Consider the following 25,569-nt stretch of genomic DNA (forward strand, 5'->3'; position numbering starts at 1 on the left):
CTTTACATTGATGTTAAATTCTGAGTCTTTTGCCAGCTAACTTCTGAGTCTCTATAGCCCTCACCTTGCTGTCTCACTTGGTTAACAGAGGATGGGCGGTCAATGCAGACAAAGGCAGGGTCCAGGCTTATCAGTCCAATACTTGGTGTCATCTGGTTGGGTAAGACTAACGGTGTTCAATTTGCCATTCTACATATGGTGCAGGCCTACCCACATCCTACACCACCAAAGTGGCTGCAAACCTTCTTAGTTCTTCTAAGGCCGTGGTGTCCTTTTATTTCCCATTTGGCTCAACTCCTTAGGCCACTGTACCACTTAGTCAAGAAGGGGGCCAACTGGGACCAGTGGCAAAGGCAAGGACACAAACTTGTACCTTTAGGATTCTGGTTCCAGCTATGGAAGGGGACTGAAGTTACAGTGTCAGGGAGCTATAATTCTGCACTACGTGTTATGCCTTACAGCAAGTGGAAGATGTTCCAAAGGGGTTCCCATGCTAGTACATACCCAGTACCCCATAGTAGGTTAGCTGGGATTACAGGTGCCCGCCACCACGCCCACCTAATTTTTGTATTTTTAGTAGAGACAGGGTTTTGCCATGTTGGCCAGGCTGGTCTCAAACTCCTGACCTCAGGTGATCCGCCCACCTTGGCCTCCCAAAATGTTGGGATTACAGGCGTAAGCCGCCACGCCCAGCCAGCCTGTGCATTCTTAGGTGACCAATATATAGTTAGCTAGCTCTATATGTGGCCGCCAGTCTCCAGACACTCAGCCACCATTGCTCTTATCGGGATCCTGAGGCCTTAGCCTTTATCCTAGTCGAAAGTAGGACACCTTCCAGAAACCAAAATCTGGGAATGCCCAGAAACAGATTGTGGCCAAATGGCACGCATGCCTGCAACAGAGGAGTACACGAACTAGCACAGGGTTCCGTTTGCTGCTTGGCCCTGTCACCTATGTGACAGCTGAAGGACAGTCTTTGACAAGGCACTGAGCCTCCACATATTCCCTCCTTTATATAAGAGGGACAGGCCCCAATTCCTGACCAGGCCTGGTACACAGATGGCTTGTCACGAGGCAATCCTTCCACCTGTATCCAGCTGTCCACTGAGAGTATCTGGCTCGATACAGGCAAAGGACATGTAGCCAATGGGCTGAGCTGCCTGGATGGTTTCTTCTAGGAGCCGGACCCAACAGTCCTGTGCACTGACATCTGGGCACCATCTTTAAGGGGCCCACCATGTGCCTACTACAAGGAGAAACACAGGATTGGATGGTAGCAGGCAGCCCCCTTTGGGGGGCTGATATAGAAGAACATTCTCCACTGCACCTGGGGGATGCATGTAACAGTCTAGCGTCTGGATGCCCACACTGCATAATATCCCTATTGTCTTACTCCAGCCTCATGTGACACTTTGTAGAGAGGGGGCCAACCTATTTGGTATTGCAAACCAAGCACCAGGCCACTCTCGGGGTGATGCTGTCTCAGAAGGACACAACTTCCTGTTTCTTGTAAAATGACCATGAGGCTGGGTGCAGTGGTACATGCCTGTAATCCCAGCACTTTGGAAGGCCGAGGTGGGTGGATCACCTGAGGCCAGCAGTTTGAGACCAACCTGGCCAATATGGCAAAACGCCACCTGTACTAAAAACAAAAAATTAGCTGGGCATGATGGCGGGCGCCTATAATCCCAGCTACTTGGGAGGCTGAGGCAGGAGAATCGCTTGAACCCAGGAGGCGGAGGTTGCAGTGAGCCGAGATCCAGCTACTGCACTCCAGCCTGGGCAACAAGAGTGAAACTCTGTCTCAAAAAGAAAAAAATGACCATGACTTGCCCCTTCTTGTACTCACTAAACATCTCACTTTTCACCCATAGATGGTATGCAGCAAACCTCTTGCCAGCTGAGCACAGACGGTGGTCTCTCTCCAGAACAAAACAGACTGTTGGGTCTGCAGAGAGCTGCCCCTCTCCTCCACTGCGGGCCTGCCGTGGTGCCTCGCAGCAGTTAACCTGAGTACCTGAAGCCACTTTTATATTCATTATTTTTTCTGTTGTAGTTTGTATTGCTGCTGTGGTGTCTGGCTGCAATGCTCCTCCGCATACCTGGCCCCAGGGAAATGGTGGAAGAACGGTACAAGAATGTGAGGGCCATTCAAAGGTATGCTAGAGTGGCCAGGTCGCAGTGGCTCACGCCTGTAAACCCAGCATTTTGGGAGGGCCGAGGCATGTGGATCACTTGAGGTCAGGAGTTCAAGACAAGCCTGGCCAACATGGTGAAACCCCATCTCTACTAAAAATACAAAAATTAGCCAGGTGTGGTGGCACATACCTGTAATCCCAGCTACTCAGGAGGCTGAGGCAGGAGAATCACTTGAACCTGGGAGGCGGAGGTTGCAGTGAGCCAAGATCGCACCACTGCACTCTAGCCTTGGCGACAGAGTGAGACTCCGTCTCAGAAAAATGAAAAACAAAAACAAAAAAAACACAGCAAGGTGGGTATGCTGGAGTGAGGGTATATGGTAGACGCACCTGGCAGCAATAACTTAAGCACACCCTGAGGATAAGGGCTGCCGCATGGAGGTTGCTGGGGGAGGGTGCTGAGTGAAAGTGCCATATAAACTGCATGCATTTTGCAAGTGGGTGTGGTTCTCCTGTCCAGCTCATCACCACTGGATCACCCTGTAAGTTATCTCAAATAAACCCTATTTCTCGTTTGCTAGCCCTGGGTCTCTTCTTCAGCCTCTTGAACGTGGCGCCATCCCTATTGAAGCGTCCCGCATGTCAGGGATGCAAATTAGAAAGCAGAATTAGGCCAGGTGCAGTGGCTCACGCGCTTTGGGAGGCTGAGGCGGGCGGATCCCTTGAGGCCAGGAGTTCGAGCCCAGCCTGGCCAACATGGCAAAACCCCTATCTCTACTAGAAATACAAAAATTAGCTGGGCACAGTGGTGTGCGCCTATAATCCCAGCTACTTGGGAGGCTGAGACATAAGAATCGCGTGAGCCCAGGAGGTAGAGGTTGCAGTAAGCCGAGATCGTGCCACTGCACTCCAGCTTGGGCAACAGAGCGAGACTGTCTCAAAAAAAAGAAAAAAAAAAGGCTGGGTGCAGGGGCTCACGCCTGTAATCCTAGCACTTTGGGAGGCCAAAATGGGCAGATCATGAGGTCAGGAGTTCGAGACCAGCAACTCTCGAGACAGGGCTACATGTGACTCTCGAGACTGTCTCGAGACTGTCTAGAGACAGGGCAACATGGTGAAACCCTGTCTCTACTAAAAATACAAAAATAGCTGGGCGTGGTGGTGCACCCCTGTAATCCCAGCTACTCAGAAGGCTGAGGCAGGAGAATTGCTTGAACCTAGGAGGCAGAGTTTGCAGTGAGCCAAGACCGAGACACTGTACTCCAGCCTGGGCAACAGAGCAAGGCTCTGTCAAAAAAGAAAGAAAGAAAGAGAGAGAGAGAGAGAGAGAGAGAGAGAGAGAGGGAAACACACTAAGAGAGAAATAAAATATTTTTTCTTTCTTTCTTTGAGATGGTAAGCCCCTACTTTTCAATCCCCCTCTCCCAAGTTCCACCTCCAAAACTGGACCGGGGATGGTGGGGAGGTAGGTGGGAGGGGCCTTGAGGCAGAAGGGAGGATGAGTGCCCTGGTTCCCAAAAGGGAGGAGGTTGAAGACCCAGACTATTTGATGAGAAGGAGGAGCCCACCGCCTTCTCTCTCCCATCCCCACATTACCCGATTCAATAGTGCAAGTCTTCAAGCAGATAGAGCATTTGGAATTTGGGGGGTGGATGGGCTGGCCTAATAGGGCACAGGAGCCAATGGGTGATGACACAGAGGTGCACGCCCCTCCAGCCCTCCTATCTTCAAGCTTGAAGAGCCAGACTTCAGAGGTCTGGAAACTTCAGATGCCTCTGCTCTTTCCTTTCTGCAGATCCACCTCTTGAGTCCTGCCTGCCAATGGTTGGGGGTGTCTTCTTTTCCTTTATCACTGAAACTTACCCGTGGGCTCTAAGCAATCTAAAAGCCTGAGATCTCTGAGCATTTAAGGGAAACCCATTCCCTGGATCTTTGGGAATCCCAATCACCTCTGTCCACAGCCCCCATCCCCAGCAGGTAACTGACAGGCCCCCCAGTCTCCTTTTGGGGAGTACTTCAGCACCCTCATGGCACTACCCTCCCACAAGTTCTTAAAGACCCACTCAGTGATCATCCACTGGGCAAGTTCAGTTGATTTGACCCTGGGATAAAAACCAGTGGTGCCCAGTACTGAGCAGAAATGGGACTCTTGGTGAGCTCAGTGAAACAGCTTGTTAGTAACTGGTTGTGGCACTGATTTACAGATGTACTCAGTCCACAACACAATGTTCAAACCTTGAGTGCAACCTCTTTTTAGAAATAATTTTAGACCTATAATAGGATTATCATGTATCAGTAGCAAGCACATTAATATCTTCCCCATCTTTGTTGAAGTCACCATTTCCCAGGTTTCCCTTGGCTAAAGGCCAGCCCGTGGATAATGCAAGCCTGGTAATCTAGTATCTGAGTTTGCCAGAGCAAGGGGAGGGCAGGAACTCAGGGCTGGACATTTAGCTTTAGAAAGACTGTGATATGGTTTGGCTGTGTCCCCATTTAAATCTCAACTTCAGTTGTATCTTCCAGAATTCCCATGTGTTGTGGGAGGAACCCAGGGGGAGGTAATTGAATCATGGGGGCTGGTCTTTTCCATGCTGTCTCATGATAATGAATAAATCTCATGAGATCTGATGGGTCTATCAGGGATTTCCACTTTTGCTTCATTTTCTCTCTTGCCACCACCATGTAAGAAGTGCCTTTCACCTCCCGCCAGGATTCTGAGGCCTCCCCAGCCATGTGGAACTGTAAGTCCAATTAAACCTTTTTGTTCCCAGTTTCAGGTATGTATTTATCAGCAGCATGAAAACTAATACAGTAAACTGGTACCAGTAGAGTGGGGTGTTGCTGAAAAGATACCCAACAATATGGAAGCAACTTTGGAACTGGGTAACAGGCAGAGGTTGGAACAGTTTGGAGGGCTCAGAAGAAGACAGGAAAATGTGGGAAAGTTTGGAACCTCCTGAAGACCTACTGAATGGTTTTGACAAAAATGCTGATATGAACAATAAGGTCCAGGCTGAGGTGGTCTCAGATGGAGATGAGGAACTTGTTGGGTACTGGAGCAAAGATGACTCTTTATTATGTTTTAGCAAAGTGACTAGTGGCATCTTGCCCCTGCCCTAGAGATTTGTGGAACTTTGAACTTGAGAGAGATGATTTAGTGTATCTGGCAGAAGAAATTTCTAAGCAGCAAAGTATTCAGAAGGTGACTTGCGTGCTGTTAAAAGCATTCCGTTTTAAAAGGGAAACAGCATAAAAGTTCAGAAAATTTGCAGCCTGATGATGCAGTGGAAAAGAAAAATCCATTTTTGAGGAGAAATTCAAGCCAGCTGCAGAAATTTGCATGAGTAGCAAGGAGCCTAATGTTAATCCCTTAGACCATGGGGAAAATGTCTCCAGGCCATATCAGAGACATTCATGGCAGCCCCTCCCATCACAGGCCCAGAGGCCCAGGAGGAAAAAGTGGTTTTGTGGGCCAGGCCCAGGGTCCCCATGCAGTGTGCAGCCTAGGGACTTGGTGCCCTGTGTCCCAGCCACTCCAGCCATGGCTGAAAGGGGCCAACGTACAGCTCGGGCTGTGGCTTCAGAGAGTAGAAGCCCCAAGCCTTGGCAGCTTCCACGTGATGTTGAGCCTGCGGGTGCACAGAAGTCAAGAATTGAGGTTTGGGAACCTCCGCCTAGATCTCAGAAGATATATGGAAATGCATGGATGTCCAGGCAAAAGTTTTCTGTAGGGGCAGAGCCCTCATGCAGAACCTCTGCCAGGGAGGGAAATGCAGAAGGGAAACGTGGGGTCAGAGCCCTCACACAGAGTCAGAGTCCCTACTGGGGCACTGCCTAGTGGAGCTGTGAGAAGAGGGCCACTGTCCTCCAGACCCCAGAATGGTAGAACCACTGACAGCTTGCACCCTGAGCTTGGAAAAGCCACACTCAACACCAGCCCGTGAAAGCAGCTGGAAGGGGGACTGTACCCTGCAAAGCCACGAGGTGGAGCTGCCTAAGACCATGGGAACCCACCTTTTGCATCAGCATGACCTGGATGTGAGATCTGGAGTCAAAGGAGATCATTATGGAGCTTTAAAATTTGACTCCCCTGCTAGATTTTGGACTTGCATGGGCCCTGTAACCCCTTTGTTTTGGCCAATTTCTCTCATTTGGAATGGCTGTATTTACCTGATACCAGTACCCCCATTGTATCTAGGAAGTAACTAGCTTGTTTTTGATTTTACAGGCTCATAGGTGGAAGGGACTTGCCTTGTCTCAGATGACACTCTGGACTTTTGGATTAATGCTGAAATGAGTTGAGACATTGGGGGACTGTTGGGAAGGCATGATTGCTTTTGAAATGTGAGGACATGAGATTTGGAGGGGCCAGGGGCAGAATGATATGGTTTCACTGTGTCTCCATTTAAATATAAACTTCAATTATATCTCCCAGAATTCCCACGTGTTATGGGAGGGAACCAGGGGAGGTAATTGAATCATGGGGGCTGGTCTTTTCCATCCTAATCTCGTGATAGTGAATAAGTCTCATGAGATCTAATGGGTTTATCAGGGGTTTCCACTTTTGCTTCTTCCTCATTTTTTTCTCTTGCTGCCATCATGTAAGAAATGCCTTTCACCTCCCACCATGATTGAGGCCTCCCCAACCATGTGGAACTGTAAGTCCAGTTAAACCTCTTTTTGTTCCCAGTTTCAGGTATGTCTTTATTAGCAGTGTGAAAATGAACTAATACAGACTGGAAGCCTTGTGACAGGAAAACTGAACATCTGAGACATCTATAGGAAAAAAAGATCTGCTTACATCCAGTCCTTGGAGTTCCAGTAGACTGATTTATTCACCAACAGCATTGCTCCTCCAGCTCCATTCCAGGAGACAGGCACCCCAGAAGTAGCAGGACTGGTAGACATCACTAGTATTGTATATGTGTTGTGCATGTATGTGTGTTGAGGAAGAGGATGGGGAAAACAATGATGGTGGTCACCAGGTAAGATGGGACCCAGGAAGGGATTGCAAGTCCAGGCCCCATGAACACCCCCAAAGAATGCCCCTCCTCTTGGAAATAAAAGTGGTTCTGGATCCAGGGAGATCAACAGTTGCAAGCTGATATTAAGAGTTGTCTATTGGATCTGTTCTAAGGGATATGTTATGTGAAGCCAAATTAATGAAGTTAGGAAGTCACATTACAAGTTGATGGGTACTTTGTTTCATCAACTTGTAGAATTTCTTCCTTTTGAACCTCTTTACTGGGTGTTAGCTGGTGACTTAGGGGTAGGGATGTGGAGGCTGTCATAGGCCCGTCTCCGCTCTTGGGCCTGAAGGGAATCCTATGTATGCGGCAGTATACAAAGTATGCAGGGATGGGGAGGATGACAATGGCAAAAAGGGTGATCATCAAGAGCAGTGCCCACGGTGGGTATGGTCGAAGCACCTCTTTTGACTGTGGAGAGATGGGAAAAGGGTTCAGAATATCAAAATCCCCAAGAGAAAAGGAAGAGTTGTGGAGGGGAAGGATGGGTGGGGAACCAAAGCAGAAAACCCATGAGTCTTCGGGCAGTAAGAGAATGAGATGACTGGGTTCTTTCACCCAGAGTGAATTGAAAGGTCTGGCCCCTACTCCCAAAGGGGTTCTGGGTCCTGGGGGAGGCTCACGGTGCTTGAGTCCCAGGACATGTAGGTGATCGGCTTCATACAAAGATGAACCATCATGGTCACAAAGATGATTAGCAGCACAACTGGACACAGATGGGGCCACAGCCAACCAAAGATGGGAGAGATGGGGTGGCCCAACAGGATCGTCAGGTCTGCAAGGAACCTGGAGAAGGGCCACCAGAGTGTGGGATGCCCAGTTAGGCCTCACCACCTTGGAGGCAGGGCCAGCCCAACCTTGGCATCTTTCAAACATTCTATTGTATCTCTAATCTCCTGTTTCATCTCAAGTCTTGTCCTCTCTCATCTTCCCCCTAGTCAGTCTGTCTTCTATCCTAACCCAAGAAACTTTTCCAAACACCCCTCTCCTGCTCAAGAACTTTCCATGGGTATCCAATGGCCTCAGGAGAAAGGCCAAGTCTCTTTCATTCATCCCATAAATATGAGAATGTCTATGATGTGCCAGGAACTCTTCTAAGTGCTGGATATCCAGCAGTGAACAACACAGATAAAATAAAGTGGCATTTGGCCCTTGGTGAACTTATCTAGTTTATTTCAGCCACCTATCCAGTCTCCTTTAGTACATATTCTCAATCTCAATAAATATACAAGTGGGGTCTTTTGGTCTAGGGTGCCCATCACCCTATCTCCACCTATTCATCTGTCCAGGCTCTGCTCAAGCATCCTCTTCTCTAGGCCACCTTCCCTAACTCTCCAGTCTTCCTTAACTAACCATCTATGCCCCCGGAGTTTCCCTGGCTACCTCTACTATAGACTTACCACCGGGTACTGGGATTTTCTGCTTATATACGTCTTTCTCTTTGGACTCTGAGCTCTTTGAGAAGAGTATCTCAATGTAAGTCATTCATATCCCAGTACCACAAGGCTTTCCTGACACAAAGTCTCAAGAAAATGTTTGTTGGGTGAGTTAATAAATGAGTCCATAAGTGAGCAAACTGACTCCAAGAACCACTATCAGATGAAAATGCTGAGGCTTTCACCCCTGAATTATACCAGGAACTCTTCTAAGTGCTGGATATCCAGCACTGAACACAGATAAAAGAAAGTGGCATTTGGCCCTTGGGAAACTTATCTAGTTTATTTCAGCCAACTATCCAGTCTCCTTTAGTACATATTCTCAATCTCAATAAATATACAAGTGGGGTCTCTTGGTCTAGGGTGCCCATCACCCTATCTCCACCTATTCATCTGTCCAGGCTCTGCTCAAGCATCCTCTCCTCTAGGCCACCTTCCCCAACTCTCCAGTCTTCCTTAACTAACCATCTGTGCCCCCGGAGTTGCCCTGGCTACCTCTACTATAGACTTACATTCCACAGCTATATCTTCCAGGTCTCACTCCCAGATTATCTTGTTCTCTTTCCCAGGTAGCTCTACCTTCCAGAATCAGACCACTTCTCTTAATCCACAACTCTTCTACTTTTGACCAAGCCATTCTTAGCTCTCACTTGAAATATTACATAGCTTTCACCAGGCGGGGTGGCTCACGCATGTAATCCTAGCACTTTGGGAGGCTGAGGCAGGTGATCACGAGGTCAAGAGTTCGAGACCAGCCTGGCCAACATGGTGAAACCCCGTCTCTACTAAGAATACAAAAATTAGCCGGGCGTGGTGGTGAATGCCTGTAATCCCAGCTACTCAGAAGGCTGAGGGAGGAGAATTGCTTGAACCCGGGAGGCGGAGGTTGCAGTGAGCTGAGATCGCACCACTGCACTCCAGCCTGGGCAACAGAGCAAGACTCCATCTCAAAAAGAAAGAAAAAAAGAAATATTACATAGCTTCCAACTCTTATCCTGGCTTCACTCTTGACTCTTCCTGGTCTGTTCTCCAGACAGCAGCCATAAATACCTTTTTAAAAAACAAATCTAATAATGGCACTCCCACCTGAAAATGTCATTCTCCTACTCAAAACCCTCCAATGCTTCATCTGCCATTCTGCATACAAAGCTGAGTCCTATCGTGGCTTACAAAACCCTACATGACTTGGCCACCATCACTTCTCTAGCCCCATCTCCTAATATCTTCTATTCCAGCCTCTCTGACTTCCTTGTTTCTCAAAAACTCTAGGCATTATGCTTCCTCTGGCCTTGGTAATTTCTGTTTCCCTGCAGGGAGCACTTTACTCAAAATCTTGTCATGACTCCCTCCCTCCTATCATTCAGGAGTCTGCTCACATGTCACCTTATCGGAAGGGCCCTCCCTGAAGTCGTATGTGACTTGGTGCCCACACACACTCCCACTATGTGCCATCTGACCTCATCCTTTGATTCTTCCTATCGCCTGTATTTATTCTCAACGTTTTTATTCTTTATTTGCTAATCTGGTTATTGTCTCTCTAGACCACTAAAATGTAAGCTTTCTGAGAATAGGAATACTTCTTTTATTCAATGCCCCTATCCCTGATGACTAAAATAGTGCCTGGCACATATTCAGCACCCAAAATATATGTGAAAATGGATGAATGAATAAAAAGATTTCCCAGAAGACTCTGAACTTAAGGGTCCCTATGTCACACTAGGTGGGTTGACAGTAGAGGCAACAAAAAAGGGGTCACCCTTCCCTATAGTCCCATGCTTTGTGAGAACCTGGGCTTAGGACATCACCTCCTGGCCCCATAGGCCCAGGATACAGCCATGGTTTCAAATACGACAACGACGATGATGGGGAAGACTATCCAGTAGTCACTCAGCAGTCTGATGAAGTAGCTGCCTGAAGGTCGAGTGAAGAAGAGGCCGCACACGAACATGAGCAAAAAGACTCCCACTGGAGAAAACATGAGATCTGGATCAAGGTTAGAAGTCACGGCTGGGTGACAAGGGCTAAGTAGAGGCCATAGACCAGGGCTGGTGGCAGACCCAGTGGTAGCCGGGCGAGGGGGCTTACATGTGTAATCCAAGCATTTTGGGGAGCCTAAGTGGGCAGATTCCTTAAGCCCAGGAGTCTGAGACCAGCCAGGCAACATGGTGAAAGCCCGTCTCTACAAAAGCTACAAAACTTAGCCGGGCGTGGTGATGCACGCCTATGGTCCCAACTACTGGGGAGGCTGAGGTGGGAGGATCACTTGAACCCAGGAGGCAGAAGTTGCAGTAAGCCGAGATCACACCACTGCACTCCAGCCTGGGCTACAGGGACCCTGTCCCAAAAAAAGAGTCCCAGTGGTGTCAGGGGTCAGGGTCATTGTTAGGAGTAGGGCCTAGGTCAGAGTACCTATGAGCAGCTTTGTATGTTTCCTGAAGAAAGAGAAGGTGTCCTGGAGTGGAGTAATGATGCCCTGCATAATCCCTATTGCGCTGCTCAGCCCCATGGCCAGCAACATCAGGAAGAAGATAAAAGACCAGAAGACAGACGGAGGAAGGAAGGACATGGCTTCAACAAAGGACAGGAATGCAAACTTTGGGCCCTCGCTAGCCTGCAAAGAGAACAAAGAGGTGTTAAAGTGTCATTGAACTAAACAATAACAAAAAAATATAGACAAGTATACATTCTATCTTCCCTGGAAAACTCCTGAAAATCCCTGGATCACTGAGAAAATCAGATGTCCAAGCTAACCCCCTGACATGGAAAATCAATCCACCTAGCATTATCCATGGAAGGCCATTCCGCAAAGTATAGTACTTTGTATTACTGAGAGCCACAGATGATTCTGGTGCTTCCGGGATTTTTGCTGGTGCTAATAAAAGCTAAAATTTCTGTTGTGCTAAAGGCTTTCAGGAACTCTAGGCTCCCCCCTCAGCTATGTTTACTGACCTTAAGAAACTGAGTCTCTATGTTGCACTCAGTCACCTCGCGGAGAACCATGCTTTTGATGTGCTGGGGAAGGCCACTGAGCCAGGCATTGTAGATGGAGGTTGGGTTGTAAAGCAGGTTGACAGGGGGCTTGGCATCAGGAGGCAGTTTCCCTAGGTTTATCAGCTTTAAAAGTATTTCAGCATTCCTGGGGATAGAGGGTTGAATCAAATCGAACCATTTGGCCCAGTAGGAGATAGTCTCCTTTTCCCTTATCTTCAAGATAAAAAAGGCTATCACTGGCTTAGCATTACTGATCTGGGTAAGATAGAGCCTGGGATGAATCCTAGAAGGCACCCGCCTTCAGGGACGTGAATTCGTTTGTGTAATCCTGGAGAATTTATGACCATGGGAGAGCCTAGGAGAAGCATTTTCTACAGTCTTCTTGGGGACTCTGTGGTCTCTGCTCTAGTGATGGGATTTCTTATACGCTGTCTACCTTCCCTCTCCACTGAGACTAACGGGTAAGAGCCAACTTTCTAAAGTTCCTATTACAGCATGTCCGGGAGCACACAGACTATGATCATAATGTCCCATGGAGTCGTGCTGTGTGGCAGCAACTGCTTGTTCGACTTTTTGATGTGAGCCCTGCTGACCATTTTGGCCTCATATGTCCCTACGGCCCTCTTCACATTCCATGTTCTGGCCAGATTTAACTACTTACCGTGTCAGGGCCCATCATACCCCATCACACACAATACCAACTCCACCCCCACCACCATTCTTCACTTGGCTAACTCCTACAAACCCTTAAAAATTCAGCTCATTGATCGAGACCATCCTGGCCAACATGGTGAAACCCCGTCTCTACTAAAAATACAAAAATCAGCTGGGCATGGTGGCACGTGCCTGTAGTCCCAGCTATTCGGGAGGCTGAGGCAGGAGAATTGCTTGAACCTGGGAGGCAGAGGTTGCAGTGAGCCGAGATCGCACCACTGCCCTCCAGCCTGGGCGACAGCGAGACTCCATTTCAAAAAAAAAAAAAATTCAGCTCATTGCTCTGTAAGAACTGCAATGGACAGCTTGCCAAGGTTCACTGATAAAAGCAAAAGGCAAGCAAGTAGAGTTTGATCACATTTTAGAAAATAAAATACTATATGCTATTCCAGTAATAAGCTAGAGATTTGAACCAATTTTCTCATCGGAAATAATTTAAAAGGCTGGAAGATATTTTTAAATCTTCTAACAAAATAAAAATGTTGACAAGATAATAAGGAATTATCAGGCAAACATTGAAGTACAGGCAAAGCAGTGGAGAAAGGGGACTTCCAAAGATACTTTGTCCCAAAGATGTATGCCAAATACAACAAACTGGACCTGCAGTTTCCAATTTTATGACTTTTCAGATACAAAAGGGGGCCATGGAGGCCAGATATAAAACACCAGAGCCTGCCCAAAATAAGGATCAGAATAGAAGTTCCCCTCTTAAATCTGACACTTCAAAGGGCTACACCTTCACAATAAAAATGAAGCAGAAGCTTGCTCCTGGCCCTTCTACACAACTGGGAATGCAAGGAAAGCTGTTTCAGAAATGATCTACAGATTTGATGCAATCCCAATTAACACCATAGCAGGCTTTTTATTTTCTTTTTCTTTTTTTTTGAGATGGAGCCTCGCTCTGTCGCCCAGGCTGGAGTGCATTGGTGCGATCTCCGCTCACTGCAACCTCCGCCTCCCAGGTTCGAGCGATTCTCCTGCCTCAGCCTCCCAAGTAGCTGGGACAGGCGTGCGCCACCATGCCCAGCTAATTTTTGTATTTTTAGTAGAGACAGGGTTTCATCGTGTTGGCCAGGCTGGTCTCAAACTCCGGACTTCAGGTGATCTGCCCGCCTCAGCCTCCCAAAGTGCTGGGATTACAGGCATGAACCACCACACTCAGTCTGGGAAGGTAATTCTAAAATTTACTTGGAGAACAAAGATCTACAATAGTCAAAACGATTTTGGAAAAAAAATAGCACAGTTGGAGAACTCATACAATCTGATTTTAAGGTTTACTGTAATACCTTAGTAATCAAAGCAGGGAGGTATTGGTGTAAAAAAAATAGACATGTTAACTAATGATACTGAGTAGAGCCCAGAAACATATTGTGGACAACTAATTGTCAACGAAGATACCAAGGCAGCTTAATAAGAAAAGGATAGTCTTATTAACAAATAGTGCTAGAACAACTGAATATCTAAATAGAAAAAAATTTAATTTTGATCCTTGCCTCATACCTTATACAGAAATTTATGTGAAATAGATATCTAAACAGAAAAAGCAAAAACTTTAAAACACAGGAGAAAAATCTTTGCAATCTTGGCCAGGCGCGGTGGCTCATGCCTGTAATCCCAGCACTTTTGGAGGCTGAGGCGGGCAGATCACTTGAGGTCAGGAGTTCGAGACCAGCCTGGCCAACATGGTGAAACCCCATCTCTACTAAAAATACAAAAATTAGCCAAGCGTGATGGCGGGCGCCTGTAGTCCCAGCTACTTGGGAGACTGAGACGGGAGAATCACTTGAGCCTGGGAGGCAGAGGCTGCAGTGAGCCAAGATCGTGCCACTGCACTCCAGCCTGGGCAACAGAGTGAGACCCTATCTCAAAAAATATATATATATTTGCAACTTTGAGGTAAACAGAACTGTCTGAGGATGTAAAAAGCTCAAAACATGAAAGAAAATTGATAAATTGGGCATCATCAAAATTATGTCTTTTCATCAAAAGGCTTCATTAACGAAAGACAAACCCCAGAATGAGATATAATATCCACAATATGTACAACTGACAAAGAACTTGCATTTAGGATATATAAAGAATGCTTACAACTCAATAATTTCACCGCCCAAAAAAAACCCTGATTTTTAAAATGGACAGTAGACTTGAAAAGATACTTTACAAGACAAGCTCTGTAAAAGGCCAATAAGCACTTTCCAAGGTAGCCAACATTAGTAGTCCTGAGAAACAGGCAAATTAAAATCACAATGGCATACCACACCACACATCTGCCAGAATGGTTAAAATTAAAAAGCCTGATGTCATCAAGTATTGACAAGGATGTGGGACAACCAGAACTCTCATACCATACTAGTAAGAATGGAAAACTGATTTAAAACCACTTTGGAAACAGTTCCACAAATTCTTATGAAATTAAACATACCGTTACCACGTAACCCAGTGACCCAATGATCCTTCTCTTAGGTGTTTATCCAAGAGAAATGAAAACATATGTCCATACAAGGACTTGTACATGAACTCTCAAAGCAGCTCTACTTGAGACAGCCCTAAACTGGAAACAACTCAGATGCCTCTGAGTAGGAGAATGGATGAAGAAATTGTGGTATAATCATAAAATGGAATAATACTTAGGAATAAAAAGGAACGAACCTCCAATACATCCAGTATCATAGATGAATACTAAAAACATGCTAAGTGAAAGAAGTCAGATATAAGAATGCATATAGTATGATTCTACTTACTCTGAAGAAAAAAAAAGACAAATCTAATCTATGATGATAGAAAACAGATTGGTGATTAATTGGGGCCAGGAGTGAGAGGAACATAGGTAGAAAATATGAGAGTTTCTAAGACCTAGATGATATAGTAAAAAGGTCTAACAAATGAGATGACATGGCCAGTGAGTCAGAGACAATATGTGAACAAACAATGGCTGAGAATTTTTGGAACTAATGAAAAAAGTAATCCATAGATGCAAGAAGCCAAAAGAATCCCAAGCAAAATAAAAGGAATTCCCCATTAGATATATTACAGTGAAGGTGTAGAGAAACAATGTTAAAAGGTACCTGTGCATTGGCAAATAATTTATGAATTAAAAGTCCTTAAAAGCACTTGCAACAACAAAAATTGACAGATAAGTGGGATCCAATTAAACTGAAGAGCTTCTGCACAGCAAAAGAAACTCAACATGAAGGAGAGAAAATATTTGCAAACTATGCATCCAACAATAGTCTAATATCCAGAATCTATGACAAACTTAAGTAATTTGATAAGCAAAAAATAAATAACCCCATTTAAAAAATGGGCAAAGGACATGAACAGATACTTCTCAAAAGAAGATATACATGCAGCCAACAAATATATGAAAAAATGCTCACTGGTGTGTTTCTCACCACACCAATCAGAATGGCTATTAAAAAGACAAAAAGCAACAGATGTTGGTGAGGCTGCAGAGGAAAGGGAATGCTTATACACTGTTGCTGGGAATGTAAATTAGTTCAGCCACTGTGGGAAGCAGTTTGGAGATTTCTCAAATAACTTAAAAGGGAACTACCATTCAACCCAGCAATCCCATTACAGGGTCTATATACCCAAAGGAAAATAAATCGTTCTACCAAAAAGATACATGTACTCATATGTTTATCACAGTACTATTCACAATAGCAAAGACATGAAATCAAGCTAGATGCCCAACAATGGTAGACTGGATAAAGAAAATGTGATACATATATACTGTGGAATACTATACTGCCATGAAAAAGAACAAAATCATGTCCTTTGCAGCAATATGGATGCAGCTGGAGGCTATTATCCTAAGTGAATTAACATAGGAATAGAAAACCTGCCGGGTGTGGTGGCTCACACCTGTAATCCCAGCATTTGGGAGGCAGAGGCAGGCAGATCACGAGGTCAGGAGATCAAGACCATCCTGGCTAACACGGTGAAACCCCGTCTCTACTAAAAATACTAAAAAATTAGCCGGGCATGGTGGTGGGCGCCTGTAGTCCCAGCTACTCGGGAGGCTGAGGCAGGAGAATGGCGTGAACCCGGGAGGCAGAGGTTACAGTGAGCCGAGATCGCACCTCTGCAGTCCAGCCTGGGCAACAGAGCGAGACTCCGTCTCAAAAAAAAAAAAAAAGAAAGCTGAAAGATGCCAGAAGCGGGCTCATGCCTGTAATCCCAGCATTTTGGGAGGATGAGGCAAACCGATCACTTGATGTCAGGAATTCGAGACCAGCCTGAGCAACATGAGGAAACTCTGTCTCTACTAAAAATATAAAAATTAGCCTGGTGTGGTGGCATGTGCCTGTAGTCCCAGCTACTCAGGAGGCTGAGGCACAAGAATTGCTTGAACCTGGGAGGCAGAGGTTGCAGTGAGCCGAAAGCCTGGGTGACAGAGGGAGGCTTGGTGTAAAAAAAAAAAAAAAGAAAGAAAGAAAGAGAAAGCTGAAAGATAGTAGGCTATCTTCAATGTGCTAGGAAAAAAAAAAAAAAAAGGCACTGCCAAGCTAGCAATCTATATCCAGATACAATAGATTTCAAAACACAGTGAAAGATATTTTCAGAAAAGAAAAGTAGGGAATTGGCCACTAGCAGACTATCACTAAAGAATAATTTAGGCTGGGCATGGTGGCTCACGCCTGTAATCCCAGCACTTTGGGAGGCCAAGGCAGGTGGATCACCTGAGGTCAGGAGTTCAAGACCAGCCTGGCCAACATGGTGAAACCCTGTCTCTACTAAAAATATAAAAACTAGCCGGGCGTGGTGGTGGGCACCTGTAATCCCAGCTACTTGGGAGTCTGAGGCAGGAAACTGCAGTGAGCTGACACAGTGCTGCTGCACTCTAGCCTCAGCGACAGAGTGAGACTCTGTCTCAAAAAAAAAAAAAAAAAAAAAAGAGAGTAATTTAAAGGATATTCAAGTAGAAGGAAATCCCTCATGGAAGGGCCAGGATGCAAGATAGAATAAAGATCAAAGAAAGCAATAAATAGGAAGTAGTACATCTAATTGAACATTAACTATATAATAAAACAATAATATCTTTGCATTTTAGCAAAATAATATGAAATAAAAATACATGAGGTGCATGCTTGTAATCCCAGCTACTCGAGAGGCTGAGGCAGGAGAATCACTTGAACCCAGGAGGCAAAGGATGCAGTGAGCTGAGATTGCACCACTGCTCTCCAGCCTGGGTGACAAAGTAAGACTCCGTCTCAAAACAAAACAAAAACATGATATAACATTCAAATGTAAGTTAGGAATGCATGTAAATGGATATAAAGAGTTTTGGAGCCCTTATCTTGAAAGACAGTGAAGTACTGATTACCTTTAGACATCGATAAATTAAGAATGCATATTGTGAATTCTGGGGAAATCACTAAATCACTGAAAGAACAGAAAACAGAGTGGATAACTTCCAGACTAGTGGAGGAAAAAAAAAATGGAATGATAAATAACTACTAAGTCAATCCAAAAGAAGGCAAGAAAAGAGAAAAAACAAAATACAGACCAGGAGAAACAAATAGCAAAGTAAGATGGGAGACAGAGCCAATTATTTCCTATCATGATGGCAGAGAAAGGGATCCAGCCTCCCTTTCTCTATAAAGAGCAACAATTTGGCAACTATCCTTGAACAACAATTACTCTGGGCCGGGCGCGGTGGCTCATGCCTGTAATCCCAGCACTTTGGGAGGTTGAGGCGGGAGGATCACTTGAGGTCAGGAGTTCGAGACCAGCCTGGCCAACGTGGGGAAACCCCGTCTCTACAAAAAATACAAAAATTAGCTGGGCATGGTGGCACGTTCCTGTAATCCCATCTACTTGGGAGGCTGAGACAGGAGAATTGCTTGATTCCGGGAGGCGGAAGTTGCGTGAGCCGAGATCAGGCCACTGCACTCCAGCCTGGAAGTCAGCGAGACTCCATCTCAAAAATAAATAAATAAATAAAATAAAATAAAAATTACTCTGGAAGAATTGAGAAGTCGGCTTCAGCTGACTTTTAGTGGGAGAAAGAACCCTAGAAAAACCCATACAGAAAGGGTGGAAAGAACAATTCCATTTTGCCCACATCACCCCATCCCCCGAGCCAGCACTGCTCAGCATGGAGAGGGAATTCCCTGGCTCGCATAACCCTCTTTCAGGGATAATGAGAGCAGGCTATACCACCAGCTTCCCTAGTGTTTTGGGACACTGCCCAACCAGCTTCAGTTTCACTCCATTCACATTTCCGTGGGGACTGGCATTGCCGAGACTTACGGAGATAATGGGGAACCAAGAAGTGGGACAGGCTGTCAGTATCAGCCATGCTGGTGGGAGCCACAGCGCCCCCTAGTGGCCTGCTCAACACGGGTCTCTAGCACACTTCTGTACTGAGGACCTCAACAGCACTCCTGGCCACTGTGCAGCTCCCCACAGTTTTCACCACCAAGGACACCTTGGTGTTACCAATGGCTGATGCCAGCACCATTTTCTGCAGAGGAACCAAGCAGCTTTCACAGCTGAGGAAACCAACTGCCAGCACTGCAGCAGCAAAAGCCCTGTAGTTTTTTCCACCTTCACAGTCTCCAGGTGCCTGGCCCTCTAATTTCTCCTTCCTCTGTCCCTGAAACCACCTAAGCTGTTCAATACCATGGTCACCCAGACCAGACCCAGGGACTCACCCCAGTGGCCATCGCATTCTCTGGGTGCCTAAGCCAATACCCCTCCTCTATGGAGTCACCCCAGCTGCTGCCTCTACAAGTGCTCTGAGCCAAGGACCCAGCACAGCTACCATGCATGTGCCTGCACACAGCCATGCCTCCCCATCCCCAGGTTCTAACTCCAGCATCACGTTTGCACCCTCAGCTAGGCCCCGCGGCTGCATGTGCACACACGCCTCCAGCTCAGCCCTGCAACTGCCCACGTACATGCAGATGGACTGACCTCTGTGGCCAGACTGCAGCAGGCCCCTGCAGTTAGGCACAAGCTGTCAGGCCCCACTGCCACATGCATGCCCTTAGTCAACCCCAGCCCCTGCCTCTGACTCCACCCCTTGCCACCATTAATGAGCCTGCAACTAGCCTCTGCTGCCATGCTTGTGCCTACAGCCAGCCTCTGCAGCAGAGTGTGTGCACACCACTGACCCCAGCCTCCACTGCTGCGAGTCCTGGCCCCTAGATGCTAGGCAAGAGGCACAGCTGAGGTCCCAGAAAACTCTGTGGGAGGTTCACAGCCACTGTGGACCTCCCACAGCTGTTGCCACCAAGGACCATGCAGGTATCAACATCACAGCCCCCAGCTGCCTGTGCTAACAAGACTCTGTGTCCCTCCAACCTGGACCCACCACACGCACCCCCACCCACAGTTGGCACTCTGTGCCACTGGACCCAGTGCCAGAGAGCACCACTCTTCTCCCCAAAAAAAGCATTTGAAGTTAATGCTTCTTCAAATGCTTTTCTCAAGACTATAAAAATCATGAAGAATTGGAGAATCATGATAACACCAAAGGAAAACAATAAACTTCCATTAGCTGACTCCAAAGAATAGCAGATCCACTAATTGCCTGACAAAGAATTCACAATAATGGTTCTAAAGAATCTCAGTCAATTATAAAAGAACAGAGAAAACAATTTAACAAAATCAGGAAAACAATAGAACAACGAAAGAAGAGGCTAAACAAAGGCACTGAAAATATGAAAAAGAACCAAACAAACATTTTTGAGCTGAAGAATAACAATAAACAAAAAATACAATAGATGGCTTCAACAGCTGACTAGAAAAGCAGAAGAAAGAATAAGCAAATTCAAAGACATCATTTTAAATCATCCAGTCAGAGGAGAAAAAGAAAAAGAAATGAAGATAACCAAAGAAAGTCTACAATATCTATGGGAGGCCATCAAGAGAACACTTACATAACAAGATTTACAGAGGAGAAGAGAAAAGGACAAAGTTTATCTTTAAAAATAGCTGAATACTTCCCTAATCTGGAGAAAGATACAAACATCCAGGTACAAGAAGTTCAGAGGTCTCTAATAAAATTCAACCCAAAGAAGAGTTCATTGAGACATATTATAAACAAATTATTTAAAACTGAAGACAAAGAATTCTGAAAGCAGAAAGAGAAAAGCATATCACATATAAGGGAGCCCCAGTACAAGTATCGACACATTTCTCAACAGAAATCTTGCAGTCCAGGAGAGAGTAAGATGATATATTCAAAGTGCTGAAAAAAAATCTGACAACCAAGAATACTTTAAAAAGTATGTAGGCCGGGCAGGGTGGCTCATGCCTGTAATACCAGCACTTTGGGAAGCCAAGGCAGGCGGATCATGAGGCCAGGAGTTCAAGACCAGCCTGGCCAGTATAGGGTTTAGTAGAAACCCTGTCTCTACTAAGAATACAAAAATTGGCTGGGCATGGTGGCGCCCACCTGTAGTCCCAGCTACTTGGGAGGCTGAGGCAGGAGGATTGTTTGAACCCGGGAGGCAGAGGTTGCAGTGAGCTGAGATCACGCCACTGCACTCCAGCCTGAGTGACAGTGTGAGACTGTCTCAAAAAAAAAAAAAGAAAAAAGAAAAAAGAAAAAAAGCCACACCATTAGAACTGGTCTCATCTAACGCCCTTCAGTCATTTGATTTATACAAGTGATAAGGTTTGGGGCACAAAACTATTATCATATTACTATTAATTTTACTTTATATTTGCCCTTTTTAAAACTTTGTATCTGTCACTTGTTAAATTTTTACAGAAGTACAACTCCTAACAAAATAATGCTGGCCCAGCCAAACACTTTGAGATGATAACAAAAGACTATGGAACAGACAAAATTGAACTTCATAATGGACCTCAGATAGACTTAGCCTAAGAGATACCCCCTTCAAATGTCCCTTGTTGCTCAAATGTGGCTACAAGAGTTTGACACTGACTCCAAGTCACCCATCATTCCCCTCAATGTGACATGAGACCAGCAACTGGGACAGGCCCATCATGACATTGAGGGACAGGAAAACCCAAATATGAATGATTGATCAGTGATGCTTTTGGAGAAAGATCTTGATTAAAAGAGGAAATGTGAACGTTATCAGAATAAAATGGAGTCACTAATGTTAAGAAAGCCCTAGCAAATTGAGTCAAGGAAGGCCATAAAGAGAGGGTTCTCACACTTGTATGTCTGATTAGAAAAACAACTACAAAAACTATAACCACGCATAAAGGCCACTGCAACCTTACACACACAAAATATTCCTGCAGAAACATCTGCCCAACAAACGCCTATCCAATCTTGGACTGGTGTCACCCTTGTTATCGATCTCTGTAGTCAAGGAAAATTATTTCAAAACAATTATGTTATCCTCCTCATTTTTTTCCTTTAAAAACCTTTGTTGGCTGGGCGTGGTGGCTCAAGCCTGTAATCTCAGCACTTCGGGAGGCTGAGGTGGGCGGATCACCTGAGGTCGAAAGTTCGAGACCAGCCTGACCAACATGGAGAAACCCCGTCTCTACTAAAAATACAAAATTAGCCAGGCGTGGTGGCACATGCCTGTAATCCCAGCTACTCGGGAGGCTAAGGCAGGAGAATCGCTTGAACCTGGGATGTTCAATGCACTCCACCAGGTGAGAGAAAAGAATTTTAATATATACAACTGGAAAATGACTACATATCCAGAACATATAAAGAACTCCATAGAAAAAGATAGATCATCCAATATTTTTTTTAAAATGGGCAAAAATGAACTTGACCACACATTTTGCTTTAAACTATGACAATACAAGTATTTGCACGAGTGAGGTAATGAGAACTTCCATACACACATTTCATATACATACAATTATAAATTGGCACAGATACTATGGAAAGTAATTTGGCATCATCTGTGAAGTTGTAGATATATGTGGTAGATTGAATAAATACAGCCACAATATTTTGGAGCTCCTCCAATTAAGAGGTAAAGTCTATTTTTCACCTTTGGAATCTGGGGTAGCTTTTTTACTTCCTTCAACCAAGAAATGTAGCAGCAATGGAAGCAGTCCTATACTTCGCTTCAAGACACTTTGCTGAGTCTGCCTTTGTGCTCTGTGAGCTACCATGTGAAGAAGACCAAACTAGCCCCATGGAGAGGCCTCATGGAAGAGAGCAGCCCTTGCTGGCCAGCCAACTGACTACAAACAGGAGTGAACCCAGCCACCACCACTTAAAGAAGAGCAGTGCCGGCTGGGTGTGGTGGCTCACGCCTGTAATCCCAGCACTTTGGGAGGCCAAGGTGGGTGGATCACTTGAGGTCAGGAGTTTGAAACCATCCTGGTGAACATGGTGAAACCCCGTCTCTACTAAAAATACAAAAATCAGCTGGGTGTGGTGGTGGGTGCCTGTAATCCCAGCTACTCGGGAAGGTGAGGCGGGAGAATCGCTTGAACCCGGGAGGCGGAGGTTGCAGTGAGCCGAGATTGCACCATTACGCTCCAGCCTGGGTGACAAAAGCAAAGATCTGTCTCAAAAAAAAAAAAAAAAAAGAAGAAGAAGAGCAGTGAGCAGCGCCGTCCCTGCTGGGCTCAGCCCCCAGCCAACCCTCCAGCTAAATGCAGCCATGTCAGTGAACCCATACAAGCCCAGCAGAAGAGCTTTCCAGCCAACCCGCAGAATCATGAGATAAATCATTGTTGTTTTAATCCATTTACTTCCAGAGTGATTTGTTACCCAAGAATAGACAACTATGCCCCAACAATCTAACTCATATCCCAGAAAAATGTGCACATATGTAGTACATCAGGAACATGCATAAGAATGTTTGCAGCAACATTGTTTTAATAGCATAAAACTGGAAAGACTCCAAATGTTATCAATAGTTGAATGGATTTTTAAAAACTGTGGTATATTCATATACTGAAACATTATACAGCATTTTAAAAGCACAGATTAGGCCTGGCGTGGTGGCTCACGTCTGTAATCCCAGCACTTTGGGAGGCCGAGGCGGGCGGATCACGAGGTCAGAAGATCGAGACCGTCCTGGCTAACACGGTGAAACCCTGTCTCTGCTAAAAATACAAAAAATTAGCCAGGCATGGTCGTGGGCACCTGTAATCCCAGCTACTTGGGAGGCTGAGGCAAGAGAATGGTGTGAACCCAGGAGGCAGAGGTTGCAGTGAGCCGAGATCACACCACTGCACTCCAGCCTGGGCAACAGAGCGAGAGTCTGTCTCAAAAAAAAAAAGAAAAAGAAAGAGCACAGATTAAAGTTATACACAATATGGATAAATATTGCAAACATGTTGGATGAGAAAAAGAAAGCACAAAAGTAAGCAAAGAGAATGTATATATGAGGGAACAAATAACTAAACATATTGCTTTATATAAGTGGACAAATTATATTGCTTAGCTATGCATACATAGATGATAGAATATAAAGAAAAACATTAATCACTATCCTTAGTTCTTTGTTTTTTTTTTTTCTTTTTTTTTTTTTTGAGAGAGAGTCTCACTCTGTTGCCCAGGTGGAATGCAGTGGCACAATCTCAGCTCACTGCAGCCTCCACCTCCCAGGTTCAAGCAATTCTCCTGCTTTGGCCTCCTGAGTAGCTGGGACTACAGGTGTGTGCCACCACGCCCGGCTAATTTTTGTATTTGTTAGTAGAGATGGGGTTTCACCATATTGGCCAGGCTGGTCTCAAACTCCTGACCTCGTGATCCATCTGCCTCAGCCTCCCAAAGTGCTGGGATTATAGGCATGAGCCACCGCACCCGGCTTGTTTTTCTTTACATTTGATCATCTATGTATGCGTATCTACTAAGCAATATAGTAACCACTATCCTGACTTTTATGATGGTTACCTCTGGGAGGCAGTAAAGAGATTATGATTAGAAAAAGATACACAGAGAGCATCTAGGGTTATTCTAGTTCTTAATACAGGTGATGTTTACTTCACGGTTCGTTACACAGTGCATTGTTTTATACACTTTTTTTTTTTTTTTGTTAGAGGAAGGGTCTCGCCCAGCTGATTTCAAACTCCTGGGTTCAAGCAATCCTCCCACCTCAGCCTCCCTAAGAGCTGGCATTACAGGCGTGAGCCACTGCTCCCGGCCTTGTTTTATGCATTTTTCCATATGTAGGTAATAGCTCATAATAAAAGGTTTTTTTGAAAATACACAAAAAAACTACCATTACACTCCCACCAGACTGGAAACAATTTAAAAGTCCAACCAAGTTTAATCAAGTGTTGTGCAAAAAGTAGAACAAATGGAAGTCTCACACATCCCTGATGGGAGGGCAATGCATTACGCCACTTTGAAAACCAGACAATATATGATAAAATTGAAGGGGAGCACACCCTACTCAGCAATTCCTTTCCTAACTATATGCTGTCAAGAACTCTTGCACACGCACACATGTATATTCCCAGGCATCTTCTAGAAGAAAATGGTGGTTATTTGTGAGGGTTAGGGTTACTAGGAGAGGTCGGGCGCGGTGGCTCACGCCTGTAATCCCAGCTCTTTGGGAGGCAGAGGCAGGAGGATGGCTTGAGCCCAGGAGTTCAAGACCTGCCTGAGCAATATAGTGGGACCCTGTTCTCAAAAATTTAAATTAAAAAAAAAAAATCTGCTGGGAGAGAGAGGAAGAGGAGGAGGAAGCAAAAAAAAAGAAAAAGAAAAAAAAGAAAAAGAAAAAAAAAAGATTACTGGGAGAAATTCAACTCAGGGTTGCCTCCTCTGGAAGGCCCCATCTGACTAGTCCAGACAGAATTAATGGCTCTGTCTCCTGTCCTCACCCATCACTTCAGTTACCAGTTAGCACAAGTTTTTGGCTGTCTCATTCTCCTTTCCTTCCCCCTCCAAAATTGAAAACTTAATGAAACAAGGACTGTGGTCTGATTCACCTGTCCAAGTCTCTGTTGTATAGAAAGAACACTTCCTAAATGTCTGTCTGATGGATGTTTTTGGAATTAATGCCTAAAAATAAGAAAAATAAGAAACAGGGGTGATCAGACAATCAAGGTTCTAGTACAGAGAATCCTTTTGGAGTTTCTGCTAGATTGACAGAAATCCCCAATTCAGGAGTTAACAGTTAAGAATGGGGGCCTTAGGGCGCGGTGGCTCACGCCTGTAATCGCAGCACTTTGGGAGGCTGAGGCGGGCGGATTATGAGGTCGGGAGATCGAGACCATCCTGGCTAACATGGTGAAACCCTGTCTTTACTAAAAATACAAAAAAATTAGCCGGGCCTGGTGATGGGCACCTGTAGTCCCAGCTACTCAGGAGGCTGAGGCAGGAGAATGGCTTGAACCCAGGAGGCA

The 25,569-nt window shown here is 45.5% G+C and overlaps 1 protein-coding gene across 11 annotated transcripts in view, besides 1 other annotated feature; it reads right to left on the reverse strand.

Moving 5' to 3' along the window:
• Positions 1-6,821: 6,821 nt before the first annotated feature.
• Positions 6,822-25,569, reverse strand: part of SLC6A16 (solute carrier family 6 member 16) — a 50,693-nt gene continuing 31,945 nt past the window's right edge. For all 11 annotated transcript variants that reach the window (XM_047438703.1, XM_047438702.1, XM_011526860.3 and 8 more), the window contains 5 exons: positions 11,551-11,737; positions 11,011-11,212; positions 10,407-10,566; positions 7,789-7,951; positions 6,822-7,576 (listed from right to left, as the gene is read on the reverse strand). In XM_047438703.1, coding sequence (XP_047294659.1) covers positions 7,307-7,576; positions 7,789-7,951; positions 10,407-10,566; positions 11,011-11,212; positions 11,551-11,737 — 982 coding nt within the window. In that variant the 3' untranslated portion in view covers positions 6,822-7,306. The remainder of the gene's footprint in view (positions 7,577-7,788; positions 7,952-10,406; positions 10,567-11,010; positions 11,213-11,550; positions 11,738-25,569) is intronic.
• Positions 18,738-18,817: an enhancer, noted in NCBI's record as "active region_14930". NCBI's record gives its function as "activates an Ori minimal core promoter by ATAC-STARR-seq in GM12878 lymphoblastoid cells {active_cell/tissue: GM12878}" and the evidence as "EXISTENCE:reporter gene assay evidence [ECO:0000049][PMID:35858748]".

The sequence above is a fragment of the Homo sapiens genome, chromosome 19 (genome assembly GCF_000001405.40).
Source record: "Homo sapiens chromosome 19, GRCh38.p14 Primary Assembly".
NCBI classification, from domain to species: domain Eukaryota; kingdom Metazoa; phylum Chordata; class Mammalia; order Primates; family Hominidae; genus Homo; species Homo sapiens.